The following is a 24285-nucleotide window of genomic DNA, read 5'->3' as shown; positions in this document are numbered from 1 at the left end:
GAAGGGCACAGAAATGGGCTGAGGCTGAGATGGCTGAACTGACAGAATTAGGCTTCAGAAGGTAGGTAATAATGAACTTCACTGAGCTAAAGGAGCATGTTCCCACACACTGCAAAGAAGCTAAGAATCATGATAAACTATTAGAGAAGCTGTTAACCAGAATAACCAGTTTAGAAAGGAATATAAATGACCTGATGGAGCTGAAAAACACAACACAAGAATGTCACAATGCAACCACAAGTACTGATAGCTGAAAAGACCAAGTGGAAGAAAGAATTTCAGAGCTTGAAGACTATCTTGCTGAAATAAGAAAGGCAGACAAGATTAGAGAAAAAAGAATGAAAAGGAATGAACAAAACCTCCAAGAACTATGGGATTATGTAAAAAGACCAAACCTACAAATAATCTGGGTACCTGAGACAGACAGGGGCACCATAATGGAGTTGGAAAACATACTTCAGGATATCATCCAGGAGAACTTTCTCAACCTAACAAGACAGATCAACATTCAAATTCAGAAAATCCAGAGACCCTAGTAAGCTATTCCATGAGAAGATCAACCCCAAGACACATAATCATCAGATTCTCCAAGGTCAAAATGAAAAAAAAATTGTTAAGGGAAGCCAGAGAGTAAGGCCTGTTCACCTTCACAGGGAAGCCCATCAGAATAGCAGTTGACCTCTCAACAGAAACCCTACAAGCCAGGAGAAACTGGGGGTCGATATTGAACATTCTTAAAGAAAGGAATTTTTAACCCAGAATCTCATATCTGGCCAAACTAAGCTCATAAATGAAGGAGAAATAAAATCCTTTTCAGAGAAGCAAATACTGACGAAATTCATCACCACCAGAAATGCTTTGCAAGGGCTCCTGAAGGAAGCACTAAATATGAAAAGGAAAAACCATTATTAGCCACTACAAAAACACTCTGAAGTACACAGACCAATGACACTATGAAGCAACTACATCAACAAGTCTGCAAAATAACCAGCTAGCATCATGATGACAGGATCAATTTCACACATAACAGTATTAACCTCAAGTGTAAATGGGCTAAATGTCCCAGTTAAAAGACACAGAATAGCAAGCTGGACAAAGAGTCAAGACCCATCAGTGTGCTATATTCAAGAGACCATCTCACATGCAAAGACACACATAGGCTCAAAATAAAGGGATGGAGGAAAATCTGTCAGCACATGGAAAGCAGAAAAAAGCAGGGGTTGAAATCCTAGTTTCTGACAAAACAGACTTTAAACCAACAAAGAACAAAAAAGACAAGGAAGGGAATTACATGATGATAAAGCATTCAATTCAACAAGAAGAGTTAACTATCCTAAATATATGTGTATCCAATACAAGAGCACCTAGACACCTACAAAGACACTTAGGCTCCCACACAATAATAGTGGGAGACTTTAGCACCCCATTGTCAATATTAGACAGATAATAAAGTCAGAAAATTAACAAAGATATTCAGGACGTGAACTCAGCTCCAGATCAAGAGAACCTGGTAGATATCTGCAGAACTCTCCATGCCAAAACAATAGAATATAGATTATTCTCAGCACCACATGGCACTTACTGTAAAATCGATCACATAATTGGAAGTAATGCACTCCTCAGCAAATTCAAAAGGATGGAAATAATAACGAACAGTCTCTCAGACCACAGCACAATCAAATTAGAATTTGAGACTAAGAAACTCACTCAAAACCACACAACTACATGGACATTGAACAACCTGCTCATGAGTGACGGCTGGGTAAATAATAAAATTAAGGCAGAAATCAAGAAGTTCTTTGAAACCAATGAGGACAAAGAGACAAGGTACAGACTTTCTGGGATACAGCTAATGCAGTGTTATGGGGGAAATTTTTAGCACTCTTAAAGCTAGAAAGATCTCAAAGCTAGAAAGGTTTCAAATCGACATCCGAAAATCACAACTAAAAGAACTACAGAACCAGTAGTAAACAAATCCCAAAGCTAGCAGAAAACAAGAAATAATCACGATGAGAACAGAACTGAATGAGATAGAGACATGAAAAACCCTTCAAAAAATCAACAAATTCAGAAGCTAGTGTTTTGAAAAAATTAATAAAATAGATAGACTGCTAGCTAGACTAAAAGGAATAAAAGAGAGAAGAATCAAATAGACACAATAAAAAATGATAAAGGGCATATCACCACTGACCCCTCAGAAATACAAAAAACCATAAGATTATACTATAAACACCTCTGGCATATAAACTAGAAAATCGGGAAGAAATGGATAAATTCCTGGACACTTACACTCTCCCAAGACTCAACCAGGAAGAAGTTGAATTCCTGAATAGACCAATAACAAGTTCTAAAATTGAGGAAGTAATAAATAGCCCACCATTCAAATAAAGCCCAGGACCAGACAGATTTACAGCTGAATTCTACCACAGGTACAAAGAGGAACTGGGGCCATTTCTTCTGAAACTATTCCAAACAATTGAAAAGGAGGGACTCCTCCCTAACTCAGTTTTTGAGGCCAGCATCATCTTGATACCAAAACCTGGCAGAAATACAACAAAAAAAGAAAACTTCAGGCCAGTATCCCTGATGAACATCGATGCAAAAATCTTCAATAAAATACTGGCAAACGAAATCCAGCCACTCATCAAAAAGCTTATCCACCATGATCAAGTCGGCTTCTTCCCTGGGATGCAAGGCTGGTTCACCATACACATATCAATGAATGCAATTCATCACATAAACAGAAATAAAGACCAAAACTACGTTATTTTCTCAATAGATGCAGAAGAGGCCTTTGATAAAATTTAACATCCCTTCATGTTAAAAACTCTCAATAACCTAGATATTGATAGAACACACCTCAAAATAAGAGCCATTTATGACAAACTCACAGCCAATATCATACTGAATGGGCAAAAGCTGACAGCATTCCCCTTGAAAATTGGCACAAGACAAGGATGCCTTCTCTCACCATTCCTATTCAACATAGTATTAGAAGTTCTGGCCAGGGTAATCAGGCAAGAGGAAGAAATAAAGGATATGCAAATGAAAAGAGAAGAAGTCAAACTGTCTCTGTTTGCAGATAACATATCCTATATCTAGAAAACCCCATCATCTCAGCTCAAAAACTTCTTAAGCTAATAAGCCACTTTAGCAAAGTCTCAGGATACAAAATCAATGTGCAAAAATCACAAGCATTCCTATACACCAACAATAGACAATCAGAGAGCCAAATCATGAATGAACTTCCTTCCATTCGCAATTGTTACAAAGAGAATGAAATACCTAGGAACACAGCTAACAAGGGAAGTGAAGGACCTCTTCAAGGAGAACTACTACTGCTCACAGAAATAAGAGAGGACAGAAATAAATGAAAAAACATTCCATGCTCATGGATAGGAAAAATCAATATTATGAAAATGGCCATACTGCCCAAAGTAATTTATAGATTCCATGCTATTTCCATTAAACTACCATTGATATTCTTCACGGAATTAGAAAAAGCTACTTTAAAACTCATATGAAATCAGAAAAGAGCCCCTATAGCCAGAACAACCCTAAGTAAAAAGAACAAAGCTGGAAGCATCATACTACCCAACTTCAAACTACACCACAAGCCTAAAGTAACCAAAACAGCATGGTACTGGCACAAAAAAAGACACATAGACCAATGGAACAGAATGGTGGTCTCAGAAATAAAACCACACATCTACAACAATCTGATCTTCCACAAAAATGACAAAAATAAGCAATGGGGAAAGAATTCCCTATTTAATAAACAGTGCTGGGAAAACTGGCTAGCCATATGCAGAAAATTGAATCTGGATCCCTTCCTCATACCTTATACAAAAATTAACTCAAGATGGATTAAAGAATTAAATGTAAAACCCAAAACTAAAAAACACTAGAATAAAATCTAGGCAATACCATCAGAACATAGGCACTGGCAAAGATTTTATGATGAATACATCAAAAGCAATTGCAACAAAGGCAAAAATTGACAAATTGAGTCTAATTAAACAAAACAGCTTCTGCACAGCAAACAAAACTATCATCAGAGTGAACAGACAACCTACAGAATGGGAGAAAATTTTTGCAATGTATCCATCTGACAAAGGTCTAATACCTAGAAATTACAAGGAACTTAAACAAATGTACAAGAAAAAAAATTAACAACCTCATTAAAAAGTGGGCAAAAGACACGAACAGACACTGCTCAAAATAAGACATTTATGCGGCCAACAAACATGAAAAAAAGCTCAACAGCACTGATCATTAGAGGAATGCAAATCAAAACCATAATGAGATACCATCTCACACCAGTCAGAATAGTGGTTATTAAAAAGTCAAGAAACAACAGATGCTGTTGTTTCATCTGTCAAGAAACAACAGATGCTGATGGGGCTGTGGAGAAATAGGAGCACTTTTACACTGTCGGTGGGAATGTAAATTAGCTCAACTATTGTGGTAGACAGTGTGGCAATTCCTCAAAGACCTAGAACCAGAAATACTATTTGACCCAGCAAACCCTTTACTGGGTATATACTCCAAGGAATAGAAATCATTCTATTATAAAGATATGCACAGTTATGTTCATTGCAGCACTACTCACAATAGCAAAGACAGGGAATCAACCCAAATGCCCATTGATGATAGACTGGATAAAGAAAATGTGGTATATATATATATATATATATATATATATATATATATATATATACACCATGGAATACTATGCAGCCATAAAAAAGAAAGAGATCATGTCCTTTGCAGGGACATGGTTGGAGCTGAAAGCCATTATCCTCAGCAAACTAATGCATGAACAGAAAACCAAACACCACATGTTCTCACTTATATGTAGGAGCTGAACAATGAGAACACATGGACATAGGGAGGGGAAAACACACACTGGGGCCTGTCGGGTAGAGGGGTTGAGTGGAGGGAGAGCATCAGGAAAAATAGCTAATGCATTCAGGGCTTAATATCTAGGTGACTGGGTTGATAGGTGAAGCAAACCACCATGGCACATGTTTACAAACTTGTAACAAACCTGCACATCCTGCACATGTATCTTCGAACTTAAAATAAAATAAAATAAAAATTAATTTAAAATGTTTGATGTTATTTTTAACGTATTGATTATATTTCATGTGTTTTTGTAAGTCCCCATTCCACGATTTCTTGGAATCCTCACAAACTTCATTTTTATTCTTCCCCAAAACTTGAAACCTTTCACTAACTGAACAAACATTCTAAGTAACTGACATTTCTAATTATATCTTATTCAGTGTAATTTTAGACTCTTTGATGCATTCTTTGTGTTTAAATAGGTATACATGTTTAACTTTAAGATTGGTTGGAATTCTAAGAAGAATTTCAAACATATTAAGTAAAAAGAGATAAAAAATATCCACATTATTACAAGCAGTCACTGGTTTGTCACCTGTGTCATGGTTAGTATCTACTGCTGTCATTTATGTATGGCTTCCAATGACTACCCATCCCTTGGCTTCAGTAATTATGTATAAATTTCTCACCACCATCCCCCACCTGAAACACAAATAAGTTAACAAATCACATATCTAATACTATATTTTCTCCGCTCTGATCATCTTTGTGGCATGGAAAACAAGTACCCTAATATCTGTTCCATTCTGAAGGGTTTAAAAATTTCCAGTATCTTTGGAAGTATAAGTGTGGTTTTTATTAAACATACTTATAATATCAAAGGTTTCGTACTAACCTAGTCCTGACTTATTACAATAAAGTTACATATTAAAATGCAACCTCAAAGATGATTTAACTCAACTCCTGGTTTTACTAAGAGAATATGTTCCTTAAAAGTTTAGGGAATTTGTTAAAGATTGTATATTACCTAATGAAAAAGCTAGAACTTGAACCCAATCCCTGAATTCCTAAAAGAGCCCACTTCCACTAAACTGGATCTGGGATACAGAGCATTTTGAGGATAGTGTTTGACTATTACTTGGATAATATGTTTCATTTTTAGTTTATTGATTTATTCTCTGACTTTCTCAGTTACCTGATATTTTTCTCTCCTACATTGTTAGAGGTTACAAGGTATCTGCTTATCTTACATTATAACATGGACACTTAAAGCCACGTAATCAAAGTGGACCTTAAAATATGTTTGAAGGGATGAATTGAGACACATCATAACCATGAAATTTTCTCATTATAAAACAGATCCAGAATGTTGGGTGTATTTTTGATGCAGGTGAATACTTCTGCTTATTGCAAAAAAAATTGATAAATTTGAGAAGCAGATCTCTTCAACATCACTGTCATTAGTTTACAGCCTAACATAAGCCTGGATGAAGAGAATACTGGAGTGGGACAGAAATTTATAAATGTTCTTTCTTCCAAGGGACATTTACAAACACCCTCATCCCCAAGAGAAACATGTGAATCGTTATTGAATATTACGTATCTATTGATAGACACTTTGCAATACCAAGCTCTAGAATAGTACTAATAGTCGTCTCATTGCTTCTGGAATATAATTGCATTTAATGGGTTCCTAGTCTTCTTTAAAAAATAAAATTTACTGGATATTCAACTTATAGTAAATGCAGTTTCATTTCCTTTTATAGTTTTTAAAAAAAATACAAAGGTGTGTCCCAGAGCTCACATTTCAGAAGTTTGAAATGATTCTTTGTATCTGATTTTTATTGCACTGTGAATGTTACAGCAATTTTGGTTTCAATATATAAACCAGAGCCTGTTTTATGCATAAAATCATGTAGCTCAATCTCCAAATACATTGCCCACCCATGAAGGATAATTAATTTTTTATTGAACAAAGCCCTAAAATATAAAGCATTAGTTGATTATGTGTAACCAAATGATGTTAGCTGTCCAAGGGCAATTATGATAAAATATTAAAGCAATTTTATATGAAGGGAAGGATAAAAATATACAGCCACAAATTTTTTATTCTGTTACTTCAACTTTTTGCACATTAAAAATGTATATAAGAGCTGCTAACTCAATTGCTTGAAATATGAAGTTATTTTTGAGAAACTCCAAGTTTACTGAAATGCATTTGAGACACTAACAGTCACAGAAAGTTGCTACCATTAAGCCTCCTCTAAGCCAAGGCAAGCTCATGATCCTTTTTTTAATAATAAATTTAGAATCCTTATTAGAAAATGTGCCACAGTGTAGCACTCAGAGATAAACTATGTTGCTGTAGTCACTTGAAAAAAAGAAATAAGTCGCTTAATAAAGTCTAAATCTTTCCTTAGGTTAGCTAATAGAAGCACCCGTGGTTATAAAATTAATCAGTCCCTGCTATTACAGCAAATTGGTGAAGATTGTATTGACACATCTTCATCTGCATGTCTCATCAGAGGTGTCCGTGCCATTTAGCTACAAAACCCTGGAGGCTTCCTCTGCACAGAATCTTATAACACTTCAATTAAGGGACACCAAGCTGCCAACCAGACAGCGGCGCATTTATTTCTTGATGACTCCTTAAGTTGTGCCACAGGCCTATCATTAAGAGAATATTTTTCACAGCAGGTTGCAAAGATCCTCGTGCCATTAAAAGGAATTGAAAAACCATCAATTTGTTGTTTCCACCTAACACAGATATTTTTTCATTGCTGGAACAGCCATTAAAAACAATCTGTTTTATTGCATTCTGAAAAGATCACATGAAGTACACATAATGATTTATTTTAAGGATGACATTAGGATTAAAACCACTGTGAAAATGTAGTATTTGAAATAAATATTTAGGAAAACAAAGTCTCAAATATGCTTTTCTTCTTTACACAAAATTATTAGTAGACATTTATTGATACCTTGAATCAGAGTTCGAAAATTCTCCAAAAGAATGCCTTTTAGAAGAGGACGAAGATGAGCTTCTCTGCAGAGGCATGTCTCAGAAGAATGGCATGCCTTGATTTTTTAAGTGGAAATTCTTTGAAAAAGTAGTAAACCAGAACAGCATGCTTTAAAAACATAACAGATCAAATGTTTCTTTGGGACAATTCTGTGGGGATTTTCTTGGGGGGGAATTTTAATGCCAATGCTACATTGTAGAGAATTGACTTAAGCCAACACCCAGTTATTTACTTATATTAAGGAAGCTGCTGACTATGGATAAAACACTCAGTTATTTACTTATATTAAGGAAGCTGCTGGCTATGGGTACCTACCTGATACTGCAGTAGATGTAGTGATTTAAGACTTCTTTTCTCGATATCAACGTTGGTCATTATTTGACAGTCTGGATCAACAACACTTTAAAACAAGGAAGTTTTCTTTTTTTTTTTTTTCTTTTATTTTTATTTTTATTTTTTTTTTTTTTAATTGATCATTCTTGGGTGTTTCTCGTAGAGGGGGATTTGGCAGGGTCATAGGACAATAGTGGAGGGAAGGTCAGCAGATAAACAAGTGAACAAAGGTCTCTGGTTTTCCTAGGCAGAGGACCCTGAGGCCTTCCGCAGTGTTTGTGTCCCTGGGTACTTGAGATTAGGGAGTGGTGATGACACTTAACGAGCATGCTGCCTTCAAGCATCTGTTTAACAAAGCACATCTTGCACCGCCCTTAATCCATTTAACCCTGAGTGGACACAGCACATGTTTCAGAGAGCACAGGGTTGGGGGTAAGGTCACAGATCAACAGGATCCCAAGGCAGAAGAATTTTTCTTAGTACAGAGCAAAATGAAAAGTCTCCCATGTCTACTTCTTTCTACACAGACACGGCAACCATCCGATTTCTCAATCTTTTCCCCACCTTTCCCCCCTTTCTATTCCACAAAACTGCCACTGTCATCATGGCCCGTTCTCAATGAGCCGCTGGGCACACCTCCCAGACGGGGTGGTGGCCGGGCAGAGGGGCTCCTCACTTCCCAGCAGTGGTGGCCGGGCAGAGGCGCCCCTCACCTCCCGGACGGGGCGGCTGGCCGGGCGGGGGGCTGACCCCCCCCCCACCGCCCTCCCGGACGGGGGAGCTGGCCGGGCGGGGGGCTGACCCCCCACCTCCCTCCCGGACGGGGCGGCTGGCCGGGCGGGGGGCTGACCCCCTCACCTCCCTCCCGGACGGGGCGGCTGGCCTGGCGGGGGCTGACCCCCACCTCCCTCCCGGACGGGGTGGCTGCCGGACGGAGACGCTCCTCACTTCCCAGACGGGGTGGCTGCCGGGCGGAGACGCTCCTCACTTCTCAGATGGGGCGGTTGCCAGGCAGAGGGTCTCCTCACTTCTCAGATGGGGCGGCCTGGCAGAGACGCTCCTCACCTCCCAGACGGGGTCGCGGCCGGGCAGAGGCGCTCCTCACATCCCAGACGGGGCGGCAGGGCAGAGGCGCTCCCCACATCTCAGACGATGGGTGGCCGGGCAGAGACGCTCCTCACTTCCTAGATGGGATGGCGGCCGGGCAGAGACGCTCCTCAATTTCCAGACTGGGCAGCCAGGCAGAGGGGCTCCTCACATCCCAGACGATGGGCGGCCAGGCAGAGACGCTCCTCACTTCCCAGACGGGGTGGCGGCCGGGCAGAGGCTGCAATCTCGGCACTTTGGGAGGCCAAGGCAGGCGGCTGGGAGGTAGAGGTTGTAGCGAGCCGAGATCATGCCACTGCACTCCAGCCTGGGCACCATTGAGCACTGAGGGAACGAGACTCCATCTACAATCCCGGCACCTCGGGAGGCCGAGGCTGGCGGATCACTCGCGATTAGGAGCTGGAGACCAGCCTGGCCAACACAGCGAAACCCCGTCTCCACCAAAAAAATACGAAAACCAGTCAGGCGTGGTGGCGCACGCCTGCAATCGCAGGCACTCGGCAGGCTGAGGCAGGAGAATCAGGCAGGGAGATTGCAGTGAGCTGAGATGGCGGCAGTACAGTCCAGCTTCGGCTCAGCATCAGAGGGAGACCGTGGAAATAGAGGGAGACCGTGGGGAGACGGAGAGGGAGAGGGAGACCGTGGGGAGACGGAGAGGGAGAGGGAGAGGGAGAGGGAGAGGGAGAGGGAGAGGGAGAGGAGGAAGTTTTCTGTCAAGGTTTCCTAATGCTACTGCTTAGAAAAATCTTAGATGGTTTTCATGAGTTGTTTTTGACAAAAACCTTCAAAGAAAAAAATAAAGAGTAATTTATACATTCCAATAAGAATAATAAATTACACAGTATTTGGGTTCATCTTCTAAAGAACAACAACAACAAAATAACCTCATAAAGGAGGACTTTATTCTCTTCTTTTCTTTCTGCTTTAAAATGTGATAGTACTCTGATAGTACTAAATTTGGGGTGTCCCATATTAAAGCTGGCTTCCTTGAAACCTACCAGGACCTCCACATAATAAAAAGGACAGGGTGTATGATAACAGTTAGAGTGAACTCTTGATGTGATTCTTCCTTAAGGACTCAAACACTCATGAGTCCTACTGATGTCTGGAATGTTGGCAGCTGACAGCTCAGCTCAGTCCCTTTCAAAGCAATGTTCTGAGTAGGAGAAAGCCTCTGTGGACAAGGTCACTCCTCCTGCCCACATCCAATGGCTGTCTTAATTCCACTTCCCACAGCTCACATCCAGTGGCTGTTCTTTCTGGGGGTGGGGATATACAGGCCCTGTGCCCTACTGCAGAGTGACACAACAACTGTGATAGACCATATCAGCTCTAGAACTCATCTTATGTGACTGTTTGATGGGTTTGTTTTGCATGTGTCACATTTCAAATCTTTCATCCACCCAAACTGACTTCTTTCGCTGTACCACAGGCTTTGACCCCAGGAATATGCCCCAGGAAACTTCCTACGTGTGCAAATATTCATCTCAAATCTTGTCAGCAGAATCAACCTGAAACATTTTTGTCACCTGCTTATTGTATGGGAGTTGATTAGTTAGTCTGAATAGGTTATGAATATCAGAACCAAATTTAGAGAATTATGGATTTATGGGGTCAACTATTTAAAAATAAACAACCCTAGATGTGGAGTACCTGAAACATTCAAAGCTGGTCTTGCTATTAATAAAATATATCTCATGAATTCTCTCCCTTCTCTATCCTCAATGATACCATCTTCATAATCTTTCCTTGTTTTCAGGCTTAAACTTTTTTTTTTCAATTCCAGCTCATTCATTCTCTTTATGGCAACCAGAATTATCTTTCTAAAACTCAGATCTGATTATGTAACTCTGCTTTTAGAAACTTCTAATGCTTACACATTGGTACTGAATAAAAAAAATGGGGATTTAGCCCTTAAAACCCTCATCCTGGCATTTATGTCACTTCACTCTCTGCAGCATCCTCCTTAGTGATCTCAACCCTAGTGACTATGCACAGATACTTTGAATGTTTCACTATTTCTAATATATATCATGTCTTTCTGTGATTCAGTGTGTGCTTTTGAACCTGTTCAGCTCTCATGCCTTTTTTCTACTCCCATATCTTATCGATAAACTTATGTTTATCCTTCAAAAAAACCCTCAAATACCATCTTTGTTATCTGTTCAATTGTTCCTGATTCTCTCACTAAAATAGCAGCTTCAGATTTTATTTTCCAATTTTATTTGTGTTTTGTATTCTTATACCACAAAGCTTATGTTATAATATATCATTCTTATATTTCTATGTATCCCAACAAAGCACTGAATTTTGCAAGGGTAATGGCATGCCGTTTAACTTGTACTCTACTAGCCAGCTGTGCCCATATTAAATACTGAAATAAATGAAAAAACGAGGATGTCTTAATTTTGATATTCCCCAAAGCAGAGCCTAAAACAAGGTCCGGAGTGCACATAGTTTATTTGGGAAATGTATTTGAGAAGCAAGAGTGAGCAAGAGGGAATGGGACAAGGAAGGAAGAAAACACAATAATGGGTTGATCAGTTATTGAAGTGGCCACCACTGAGGCTGGTGGGTAAGAGTCTCTGGGAACTTTACAAGGCCAGTGTAGACAGCACCTCCAAAGTGTCCTTATGCAAGACAGAAAGATGTGAGCATTTATCCACCGACTCCATCACACAGTGTTTGGTGCCCCAGCAGTAGTAACTCCCCGTCATTTCCAGACTGCACCTGCATGGAGAATGGGTGAGATCCTGGGCTTGGAAAAAGTCTTGAGGGGAAAATCTGAGAGAGGAGAATGACAGTGTACATAGAACTGTTCACGGTAGTTGCAGCTGAAACCACAGGTTGACTTAGCAGATATAAGCCAGAGTACAGAATCATTGCAACTGGGGATTATTCACCTAAAGGTCTGGAATCATAAATTTTGAGGGAGCAGTATTGGAACCTAATCAGGAACTCCAATTTAAAGGGTAAATGTAACTAAATACATTTTCTATGCAAGTAAATATATACCAGAGCTTATATTCATGACATTGACTGATTTTCCACAAAGGAGTTTTCTTGGTTTTACTTCTCTTTTTTTCTTTGTTGTCTTCCTTGTAATTTCTTGTATGACTACAGAGCAAGCATGTATTAACTTGACCATTTAAACTCTCTGAGCCTGTATTTTCTCATGTGTGATGAGAGGATAAGAATTTCTCATAGGACCATTTTCCATCTATCTATTTGTTCATTTACTCATTAAACAACTTTCACAACGTTGTGTAAGAGGAATGTATAATTTAGACTGATGCTTCCTCAAGGACCTCATGAAAATGCTAACCATTAAACTAAAACTGGAAGAGTGATCTGGAATTGGCCAGGTGGGAAGTTAGAGTGGTGAGGAGAGCACTATGCATGAAGACTATGTGGCAGAGAAGGAATATAGGGCATATTCTAAAGAAAGTGAAGCTTCTCGGAACAAAGTGAAAGAGGGGAAGATAGTCTGTGCAAAGTGAGGTTGGAGGGGTAAACAGGGATGAGAACGTATAGAGACGCGTGGGTGGGCCCTAGTAGTCAGCATGGGTGGGCGCAATGGGGAGTCTTTGAAAGATTTTAAGCTACAGAGACATGTGATCTGACGTATTTCTAGAAGATTGCTCTTACTACTGTGTGTGGATTGGATGAGTGTTGGACTGTAGGAAGGGTAAACTGTTAGGACCACAGTCCTGTTCAAAGATACTTATTTCATAAAGTGACTCATGTGCCGGCTTTATTTAGTGCCTACATAGAGTTGGTAGAATTTAGCTATGCTCAGTGACTTATTCCTGTAATCCCAGTGCTTTGAAAGGCTGAGGTGGGAAGATTGCTTGATCCAGCCTGGGCAACATAGCAAAACCATATCTCTAGAAATCGATTTAAAAAGTAGTTGGGTTTGGTGGCATGTGTCTATTGTCCTAGCTACTCAGGAGGCTGAGGCAGGAAGATCTCGAGCCCAGGAGTTTAAAGTTACAGTGAGCTATGACTGCAGCACTGTACTGTAGCCAGGGTGACAGAGCAAGACACTGTCTCTAACAACAACAACAACAAAGAATTTGGTCACATTTCCCTTTATCTTCTTATCTTCTCTGCTTTACCTTTCTTCCTTCTGTTCATCACCATGTTCATCAGCATATTTTTCCTTCTATCTTAATAATTTACTCTTAGCATTTCTTAAGGAAACTTCATGAAGACAATGAAATTATATTATTTATAACCAATGGCTCATCACACATCTTCTGTCATGCTCCTAGGTAATTTGTGCTGTGGAGAAAGGGAAGCCACCAAGCCATTCTGCTCAGAATTTGTGGGGAAAGGGGAGGGAATCATGGTCTTCATGGTGTTGTTAGAGGTGAAGGAGCAGAGGGTAGGAATCATTTGGCAGATGAAATTATGTGTAAAGAGAGGTCAAGAGTGTTGGGCAAACTAGAAGAGATGAATTAGATATGGGAGTGATGATTCATGAAAGATATTTCTGCGTATCAGAGCAGCAGGCTAGGAAGTGAACATATTGAGTTCTAAGCAAGCATAATGTAATCCTTTCATGATAGAAAAAGGAAAACAAAGAACTATAGGTAACAAGCAGGATAATATTGGCATATTAAAGTGGAATATCTCTATATATGTATATATAATGTGAATTTTAATTCCCATAAATAATTACAAAGATAATGAATTAGAAATATTTTGAAAGCCCTCCAATAAAAATTGATAATAATGAATGTTTTTCTGGAAAGAAACAGCACAGAAGCAAAGAAAATCCTAGACAGAATATATATAAGAATCACCATCCTATTCCTTCATGGAAAACTCAAATAATATTTTTATTTTTGGATATTAGATATGAGTTTATTGATCAACATGATATCACTTTATGTTTCTATTTTGTTTCTTTCAACTCTATTGAGGTACATTGTCATGCATATGTAAAGTGTGTACTTCCATGATCTTGATATATGTATACCTGTGAAACTATCACCATAATCAAGGTAACATACAATTATATCACCTCCAAAAGCTTACTTGTGCCTTCTTTGTAATTCTTTCCTTCCTCTCTCCTATCCCCAGGCAAGCACTGATATGCTATCTGTCGCTGTACTCTAGTTTGTATTTCCTAGACTTTTATGTGAGTATAATCATACAATATTATTCTGGTTTCTTCTATTCAGTATATTTATCTTGAGATTCACCAAGTTGTTGCATGTGTCATTAGTTAATTTCACTTCATGGCTGAAGAGTAGCACAGAGTTTGAATGTACCACAAGTTGCTCATCAATTCACCTATTAATGAACACTTTGATTGAATCCACATCTTATTTATTACCAACGAAACTGCTATGAACATTGTTGTATAGGTCTTAGTATGGACAAATGCTTTTATTTCTTTTTGGTAAATAGCAATGGAATAGCAAGGTAATACGGTAGGTGCATATTTAAATTCAAGTAAGCTTCCAAAATGTTTCCTAAAATGATTGTACATTCCCACCAAGGGTTTTACCTAAAAATTCCGTAGACTGGCTTTGTCTACGTAAATTCAACAACAGCACACCTGTAAGCTAAGTATTATTTTCCCCATTGCATAGAAGAAAACCTACATTCAGGGATGTCAAGTGAATTAATTTTGTGGTCACAGAGCAAGTGAATGGAAGAGCTGGAATTCAGACCTGGGTCTGACAGCACCCGACTGCGTTCCAGAATGCCTACAAAAAATTTTCATAAATGGAAGAGTGATTCTTGCTTTTAATAAATGTGAGTCTCATCCACTGAGTTGCTAGATCCTGCTTGACTTAAATAAATGAATAGTATGGGAAATTATTTCAGTCCAAGTGAGGGCTCATTGGCCATATAAGGTCAAGGTATAGCTTTATATGATTGACTGGAATTCAAACCCATGACTTGCCATCAGTTGAAGAAGAAACATGTAAGACCCTCCAATAAACCAACAATCTTCTTAATTTAAAAGAGCAGCTCCAATTCAGATGGAGAGCTACTTAAATTAGCAACCATAGCCAAGCTTTGATTGGTTTAATGGCCTTTTAAAAAATTGTTGATTTTTTTCAAGGAACAGATAAATATGCAAGGACTGGAAAGCAAAAAACAAATAAGAAATACAAAACCAGCTGGAGGAGAAAAAAACAGGAGAGGATAAAGCACCTGGAGGAGATTAATGGACACAAGTGCTTTCTCTTTGTTTTCATTTTTAATAAGACAAACGCATTATGTAAAATTTAAAATGTGAGAACTGAACATAGATGTATGAAAAGCAGCCTACAAGAAGCTCTGGTAGTTTTTGATGCTGCTGTTGGCACTGTTGCTTCGAACTACTGACTGGCACTTTGGTTTCTGTAATGGTTTAAATGCAAGCCTCTACAGTAACGTAAGGTAGAGGAGAAACAATGATAAAATTACTGCTTCTATCTTGGGGACATAATATTTTAACACTGAAATTAAAACAAACAGAAGTCTTTAACCCTTTTCTCTTTAGAGAAGAATCAGGTGTAAGAATGCTCTGTATGTAGACGGAGTTAGTAACTGAAGGTCCGAAAAGTCAACATCAGAATCACTATTCCTCCAAACCCTTAATTCTGCTTCGTTTCTATTCCCATCAACTGCGATCTCTCCTAACTAGATTTAGTAAATAAAAATACAGGACACATAGTTAAATTTAATTTTCAGAGAAAATAATATATTTTTTATAGTAGAGAATATCCCATGCTATATTTGGGAGACGTTAGTACTAAAAATTATTCATTGTTTATCTGAAAGTCAAATTTAATTGTGTCCTATATTTTTATTTGGCAATCCTACTGCCAACAGACTTCCCCTCCTCTTCCACTCCGACCGCCCTCATTGCAATGGTAGCAAAATGAAATATCAACATTTATTGAAGTGGAACATCTGAATTTAACAGGAGACATTGAAGATGACAATTATTTGTTTCATTAATAATATTTTGCATGTCTAAAATATAAGGTATCACTCTTGTTAAAATTATAACTAACCACCATTGCATCATCATTGGCACATACTCAGTGTTCAAATTTCCAATTGTTTCACAAACGTAATAATTATTTTACAGTCTCAGGATTCAAATAAGTCTCACATGTTGCAAATGGTGGAAAGTCTATATATTTCCCCTCCAACAACTCTTTTTCTTTCTTATAATGTTTTTATTGAAGAAACCAAGTTGTTTGTACAATAAAGTTTCTTAGTCTGGACTGTGCTAATTGCATTGTATGGTGCAGTTTAACATCTTCCTTTGCCCTCTGAATTTTCTGTAAATTGCTAGTTTTTATGGAGACTTGATACCATTCAGATACAATTTTTTATTTTATTTTTGGTCAGACTGCTTCTTAGGTGGTGCTCCTCCATTTGGAAGAATATAATTCTCATTGCATCTTTCTTTGAAACGCCAACAGCCATTGGTGATCAATGTCTAGATTAATTAATATAGAAGACATTGCAAAGTAATGATACTGTAATGCTGTAATAATAATTCTTCTTCATTATTAGCTGAAGTGCTTCTATAAGAAGAAATATTTCTTTATCTACTACTTAATTATCCATAGTATAGTTTGTACAGAAATAGCAGAATAAATGCTTGATTACTTTAGCTAATATAAATTTGATAAATAAGAACAATATGGAAAACTCATTCTCTTGAATATGAAGACATTTAAAAGTTTAGTAATTAATGCAGTCTGGTATTGATGCAGACATACACGGACAAAGCAATGTAATTGAATAAAGAACCCCACAACAAATATTTATTAAACCTTCACACTTTTTTAATTCACAAACAATGAGTCAGTATGTTATCAGCAACCCAGAAACCTCCCTCTTATTTCTTTTCAGCTACTGCTTTTTCAGAAGATAACCATTATCTGACATCTAAGCATATTCTAATATTGCCCATTTTGTTACTTAAATCACTGAAATCATATGGTATGTACTTTTTTAGTATTGGGCTTTTTAAAATTCAGTATATTTCTGACTTTTTTCATATTGCTGCATGCCATTATAGATCATTTTTGTTCTTATTTCTGTATAATATTCCATCGTGATAAGCATGGTTCTAGCAATGAGGAAAAAGCAGGTAACAAAGGAAAGTCACTGATTTCATGGAGCTTGCATTCTAGTGAATACAATATATGAAAATATATATATATAGGGAAGCAACATAGATGTTTGAGTTGTTGGGCTATTGAAAAACTGCTGCTAGGACAATTTGTTATCCATTTGGAAAACATAAAATTTAGAATAGTACTTTATGCCACATACACAAAAAATTATGCCAAGAAATTTAAAATTTTAAATGTAAAAGGCACAGCTTTAAAACTTTTAGAAGAAATGTCCATTTACTAATTACATTTGTAATTTATTAAACATCTACTTGTACCAAGCAATTTTGTGTGTATAATGGATACATCAGTGAAAATAAAATACAAATATCTTTGCTTTTATGAAGTATACATATAATTCATTAAGACATAATAAAAACATAAACAAGCAAACTTAGAAACAAGTAACAAGTAACAAGTAAACAAGACAACTAGAGCCAATGGGGAGAGGGAAGTAATGAGTGCCTGCAGAGCTGGGGCTAGGGTTGCAATTTTAAGTAGAATGGTGTACTTGTTGGTTTTGCATTACTATGAAAGAAAACCTGAGACTGGATAACTTATCAAGAAAAGAAGCTTATTTGGCTCACAGTTCTGCAGGCTGTACGAGCATGGCACAAACACCTGCTTGGCTTCTGGTGAGGTCTCAGGATGCTTTTACTCACGGCAGAGGGTTAAGTGGGAGCAGGCGTGTCACCTGTTGAGAGCAGGAGTGAGAGAGAGGGGAGAAGGTGCCAACTTTTTTTAAACAACCAGCTCTCTGGTGAACTAATGGAGTGAGAACTCACTCATTACCATGAGGACAGTACCAAGCCATTCATGGGGGATCTGTCTGTGACCCAGAGACTTCCCACTAGACCCCACCTCCTACACTGGGAATCACAATTTCTTATGAAATTTGGAGTGGCACACATCCAAACCATATCAGATGGTCAGGGAATTATAGGAGAAAATTCTCTGTAACCTTAGGATATAGAAAGATCCTGAAATAAGACTTAAAAAACAATTTAAAAACTCCACAAACCATAAAGGGAATGCTTAGTTAATTTGGCTGCATCAGAGTAAATACTTTTATACATCAAAAGACACCAGAAAGAAAGTGAAAAGAAATTGAGAAGATATTTGCAATCTGTAATTCCTCCAAGTATTAGTATCCAGAATAGGCAAAGAATTTTAATGAATGTGGAAGAAAAATACAAACAACCAATAGAAAAAAATAGACGCAGGATATGAATATGCAACTCATAAAAGAGGAAACCCAAACTAAACCTAAGAAAAAATACTCAGTATCGAGGAAAATATAAATTTAATCCATACTGATTTTTTACTTAGTATTCTATTTATCTGTCTATCTTATCAAATTAGTTAAGATTCTAAAAGAAGGATTTCACTGAGATGGGCACAGCCATGAACGGTTGCTGGGATCAGAGAGGTAGCATTATTCTGAATTTGACTGAATGCTTTTGCACCTCCTGTCAGAATAATGGCATGTGCTTTTGGGTTACATTGGATATAAGAACCACGAATCTAGGAAGCAATTGAGTTCTGGCTCTACTTGTCCTTCTGAGCTATGCATAAGATTAAACACACCTCCCTTAATGTCTATAGTAAATGTAGATTTCTTCTTCTATGTATAGAAGTCCTTGAAGATGAAAAAAGGAAGAAAATGGTACTCTCAAGAACCAAGGGCATTTGAAATATACCAAGCCAAGTTGATGTCTAATTACTTAAGAAACATCAATTTATAGATTACCCAGGACCCTTGTTTCTTATTTTCTTTCTTGATGCTCAGTTAATGTTTATTTCAATTCAATACTTATTAAAGTCCATCGAAAGTGATAAAATCCAGTCTTATAAAAATATTGCTCATTAAAACTGCTATAAAAATGAACTGTCCTGTGCATGATGTCAAAATGAACTTTCTAAAATGCACATCTGGTCACTACACTCCCATATACATTCTGTATTCCAACTTTAATAAATTACCTGCCTTTCTGAAAACAGAAGATGCTTTTGCAACTAACACATTCTGTTCTCTCTATTCTAGAAATATTTATGGGGCACCTATGATATGCCAGGCACTGTTATAGTCCCTGGGGTTTCAGCTATAAATAAATAATAAACATCATGTTTTCATGAAACTTCTATTAAAGTGGGAGGACATATACAATAGCATTAAAAATAAATAATATATCAGTGTCCTGAGAACAATTTTTCAAAAAGGATATGGGGATAGAGTGATGGAGCAGGGCTATTTTAGGTAGAATGGTAAAGAAAGACTTGGATTGGAAGAAATTTGAGCAAAGATTTGAGGGAAGTGAGGGAGCCAGCCAAGCAGTTACCAAAAAATGAATGCTCTGTATTTGTCAACAATGTAATCAAAATAGAGGGTTAGTGCTTAAAGTCTAAAAATATGAAGGGCAAGATGCCAGTATCTGAAAACAAATAAAATATTTTAAACATTCTCACTCTGCCAAAGAATATTTTTCTCAGAAGTAAAAAGAAAATGGTATAGCCTTTTGAGATTCACAGACTATCCTCCTAGTGGAATGATCAATTCTGTAAGCGTTGGACCACAGAAATATTTAACTTTTGAAATTCAATATAGATATATCTTATTCTCATAAAATATTTTCTATAGAAAAATAAAAGGGTCTGATATTTAACTTAACGCATGAGCGTGATTCACCTATTTTCTTCTTACCTAAGACAATTCTTTGTATTCTCTTTGTGTGCAGAAGTTGAGTCTTGCTTTTTGTACTGTATTTTCTCTGCTATTCCTTCCTCCAGTTAAGATACTGAGATCTAGAATGAAATTACCAACAAGCACCTGAACACTCCTGCAAAACTCTTTAAACAGGTGAAATATGTGTATCTGGACTTTACTGGGGATATTTAAAATATAAGTAGTAATCTGAGGACTGGTTATCATCATCTTCCATGGGGCTCAACCAGTCTTTTCAATAACTTGCTTTCTCAAGGGTTCATTTCGTGGCTAGAAGTGTAACCATCACTCCAAGCACTGACAGCTGTCGCAATGTCCCCTGTCCAGCTCCCTAAACACATAGTTCATTCTTGAACCACTCTGTCTTTCTTGAATTTGTAAACTATACTGGATGTACTAACACCAAATAACACTCATCCCACCACATCCTTCCTAGTAGGACATATGGGTAAATGAAAGAGAAGGATACAAAAGTAAGTATTTCTGGTCATATGAAAAATATAATTAAAGACAGGGATAAAAGGTATTTTTAAAGACATCTTGATTACAAATTAAACATTTAAAATAGCCATGGAGTACTGGGGAAATAAAATGGCAAATTGGCCATTTGGAGATCTATTCATTTTTTATTCATTCATTAATTTTTCAGTAAGCATTTCTTGAACATTTACTCTACATCTGACATCATGACAAGATCTGGAATTAAACAGTTGTTTCAAAATATAATCACTGTTCTTGAAGAAGTAGTAGGTCATAAACACAAAAATTATTACAATATGATCTTGTGAGTGCTCTGTGAAAGCTTTATGCAATCAATTTAGAAATGTAGGGAGAGAGACCCAAAACCCATTCTGAGTTGGGGAAGACAGGGGGTCAAGCAGAGCTTCCTGGAAACATGTTTTTTCTTTGAATTTGAATAATAATTCTAGTAAATTAGCATTTCAAAGCCCAGAATATTTCCTTTCCATAAACTACATAGATTAACCATTTCCCATTATTTGCACACGCTTATATGCCTTTCCTTTAACTATGTCTTCAGCTACATCAAAACAATTGGGGTCACCACTTTTTCAGACCATTCCCAGAAACGCTCACCCCCTCCCCCTCTCTCTTGGCCAGTGGCTCTTCCAGGAATAAATGACGACACGATCTCAAATATTTCACAATATATGAAACTGTTGGGTCATTCCTGGAAATACTGCATTCAGGGATTGACACATGATCAGAAGCTTGAACCCGTAAAGATTTCATTTGTTCTGCTTGGACCCCTGAAAATTATCTTTCAAAGCAGAGATATCCGTCTCTGGAGGGAACTTGACCAGACTTCCACAGTAAAGAAATATTTCACCTAGTTTGTACGGTACAGTTGATTTCTGCAGTGATTTCCTTTTAAAGAGTAGATGAGCATCAATAAAGGCTCATTCACCCTGAACTTTCAGCAATCGACTCATAAGGAACTTTAATGTAATTTGTTTTTACATAATGCAGGCTCATAAAATGCATCATTTTTCTTACCCAATATATAGTTGGAAGATTTATCATAGAGAGGTTTTATTCAAGGCCAGGCCCTTTAAAAATCTAAACTTTTTAAATTTTTTTCTCATTTTAGCAAAAATCCTCCCGTTAAAGAACTGAAGTGCTTCAAACACCCTAGTAATGGTACAGTAAATTACATTTTCTCATTTGGAACATTGTAATAGATTTCTCTACAGAGTGATTTATCATGCAACAATTAGGAACCCAAGGGAATTAGATGACCATTTTAAATTTTATCAGCTTGTTTCAATAAACTGTTAATGTGACCCTAATGTTTGGGAAGCACTTTAATATAATCAGATTTTGGTTGTTCAATCTACTGACATTAATGGCTACCTCATTAATCATAGCATTCTCGCTGAGACCTTGGAGGCTGAGCCAAGTTCAGTGGACCAATTCTTACAATAATAAAAACAGGCAATTTTCAACAGGGAAATATTCTCACTTTAACTAGAAAATGTGTTTTGTTATTCCTTAGAAATTGACAGGGGTAACTGGAAACTCTAAAAGCTTACAAAATAACAATTAAAAACCCTTTAGGCTTAATTCCCAAATTGGTCAATTAAATCAAGACCTCCTATAATCATTACCTATAATGATTTTCTATTATTTAAAAATAGAGAGCTATACAGCAAGACCTAAAAGAGGCCAGACGACAAACATATAATAAATGTCTGTCTTCCAAGCCTGGGTAGCATCTGATGGTTTGTACAAATCCTGCAGAGCTGAAACATGCCTTCAACTTTCAAAACCCTGTAGTTAATTCCTCAGTGGTCTTTCAGGAGGGATATGGAAAAAAGGTACTACAGGGTGATTTATACGATTTCAGGAAATTGTGTGTAAATGCAGAGGTTGATTTTAGTACTTCTGACTTTTTCCATTTTGATAACAGACACTCTCCCAGTCCCTCAAATATCTACAGAGCTGAAAGAAACAAGATTTTTTGTTTTTAAATCACAGTATCACTATAGTTTCCTGCTTGGGTTACTGCTATAAAACGCCTTTGTATTATATGTCATGGTTGGAAAAAAAAAGGACATAGTACCATCTGTTTCTGGAATCATGGTTTTATTTTATTAATTTTTCTTGTTAAACTTAATAGAATATGATCCTATTGGAAACAGAGTTTATAAAGCCATACAGTTAGCTGGAAACGGAAAAATCAGATGTTTTTAAGTCGGGCTAAAATACTCAGTGCTTGAAAAAAAATTTTCATTTTTGATTTCAAGGAAATCTCATTATTAAGTGTATGGTTTGTATCCTCGGTTTTATATTATCCTTAAAGATTAAGCTATAGAAAATGCAGCTCTTAAAAAAATCAAATATAAAAATTCATAAAAATGTGACCAAACGTATCTTCCCAAAGCAGAAAATTTTGCAAAAATGTAAGATGAATGAATCACTAGTCATACTGTTTTTGGTTCTCAACTTTTTTTTTTTTTTTGAGACGAAGTCTCACTCTTTTGCTGAGGCTGGAGTGCAGTGGTGCAAGCTCGGCTCACTGCAACCTCAGCCTCCCGAGTTCAAGTGATTCTCCTGCCTCAGCCTCCTGAGCCGCTGGGATTACAGGGACGCGACACCAAGCCCGGCTAATTTTTGTGTTTTTAGTAGAGATGGGGTTTCACCATGTTGGCCAGGCTGGTCTCAAACTCCTGACCTCTTGATCCACCCACCTCGGCCTCCCAAAGTGCTGGGATTACAGGCCTGAGCCACTGCACTGGGCCTAGTTCTCAACTTTTTATATACTGAAAATACATTATTTTGAATAAAGACTCTAGGGTAGAGATGTTTAAGAGGAGTATGGGCCCTCTGAATATGTTCTAGTGTAATATATCTTCTCAAGGTGACTGCGAATCCCATTGCACAAAATGGTATCAGTTAATCCATTCACTCACCAAATACTCGCTGAGCACATTCTATCTTATGGTTGCTGTGCATCCTAGATTCTGAGAATAACGTTCAAAATGCATATTCTGTGCATAATAGTACGTTAAGAATTTGAAAGATATGGTATTTGTTTTGTCTGGCATTCAGCAGACACTTACTTCATTACTTCATGCTTGTTAAATGGATACACGTATCCATGAAATAACAAATTTTACAAACTGTGGAAACGTAGCCAGGAATCCTTCAGTTAGTTGAAGGTGTCCTGTTTTAGGACAGATTATTTGTAGAGAGAGGTTTTTCTGTGAAAGCAAAGATCAAGGCTAATTGATTTTCAGATTGATTAAAAGGCAGAAGTGGATTTATTGTCTGCCAGGTTAGAATTGTTAACAGTTCTTCAGAATCAAAGTTTCCCTCCTTGGAAAATGTGGAGACAGTGGAGACATACTGCTCAGATCCTGCCGCGGGGAGCGTGGTTGACTGACAGACCCAGCTGCTCTCCCTGTGGATACACAATCAGCGCTTGTCTGGGGCCAGGCTGCGCCAGTTGGGGCACTGTGCGGGTATTAGCAGGAAACGGGACTCCTCTGAACGGTAATGTTGGCTTGGGGACTCCACTGCCTGGCCCAAACTTTCTTAGGACTGTGCTGCAGTCTTTGTGCCTAAGCCTCCTTTCTTCCCCCTCTCCTTT

At 37.6% G+C, this 24285-nt stretch overlaps 1 non-coding gene across 1 annotated transcript, besides 1 other annotated feature; it reads right to left on the bottom strand.

Moving 5' to 3' along the window:
- Positions 9101-9915: an enhancer, noted in NCBI's record as "H3K27ac-H3K4me1 hESC enhancer chr8:94050860-94051674 (GRCh37/hg19 assembly coordinates)". NCBI's record gives its function as "activates a minimal SCP1, AML or CMV promoter by ChIP-STARR-seq in naive H9 embryonic stem cells {active_cell/tissue: H9 hESC(naive)}" and the evidence as "EXISTENCE:reporter gene assay evidence [ECO:0000049][PMID:30033119]".
- Positions 18708-18796, bottom strand: MIR8084 (microRNA 8084). Its single transcript, NR_107051.1, has one exon. It is a non-coding gene; the product is annotated as a microRNA 8084 (primary transcript).
- Between the last annotated feature and the right edge of the window lie 5489 nt (positions 18797-24285).

This window comes from Homo sapiens, chromosome 8 (assembly GCF_000001405.40).
Source record: "Homo sapiens chromosome 8, GRCh38.p14 Primary Assembly".
NCBI classification, from domain to species: Eukaryota; Metazoa; Chordata; class Mammalia; order Primates; family Hominidae; genus Homo; species Homo sapiens.
This window is presented reverse-complemented; position numbering and strand designations above follow the sequence as displayed.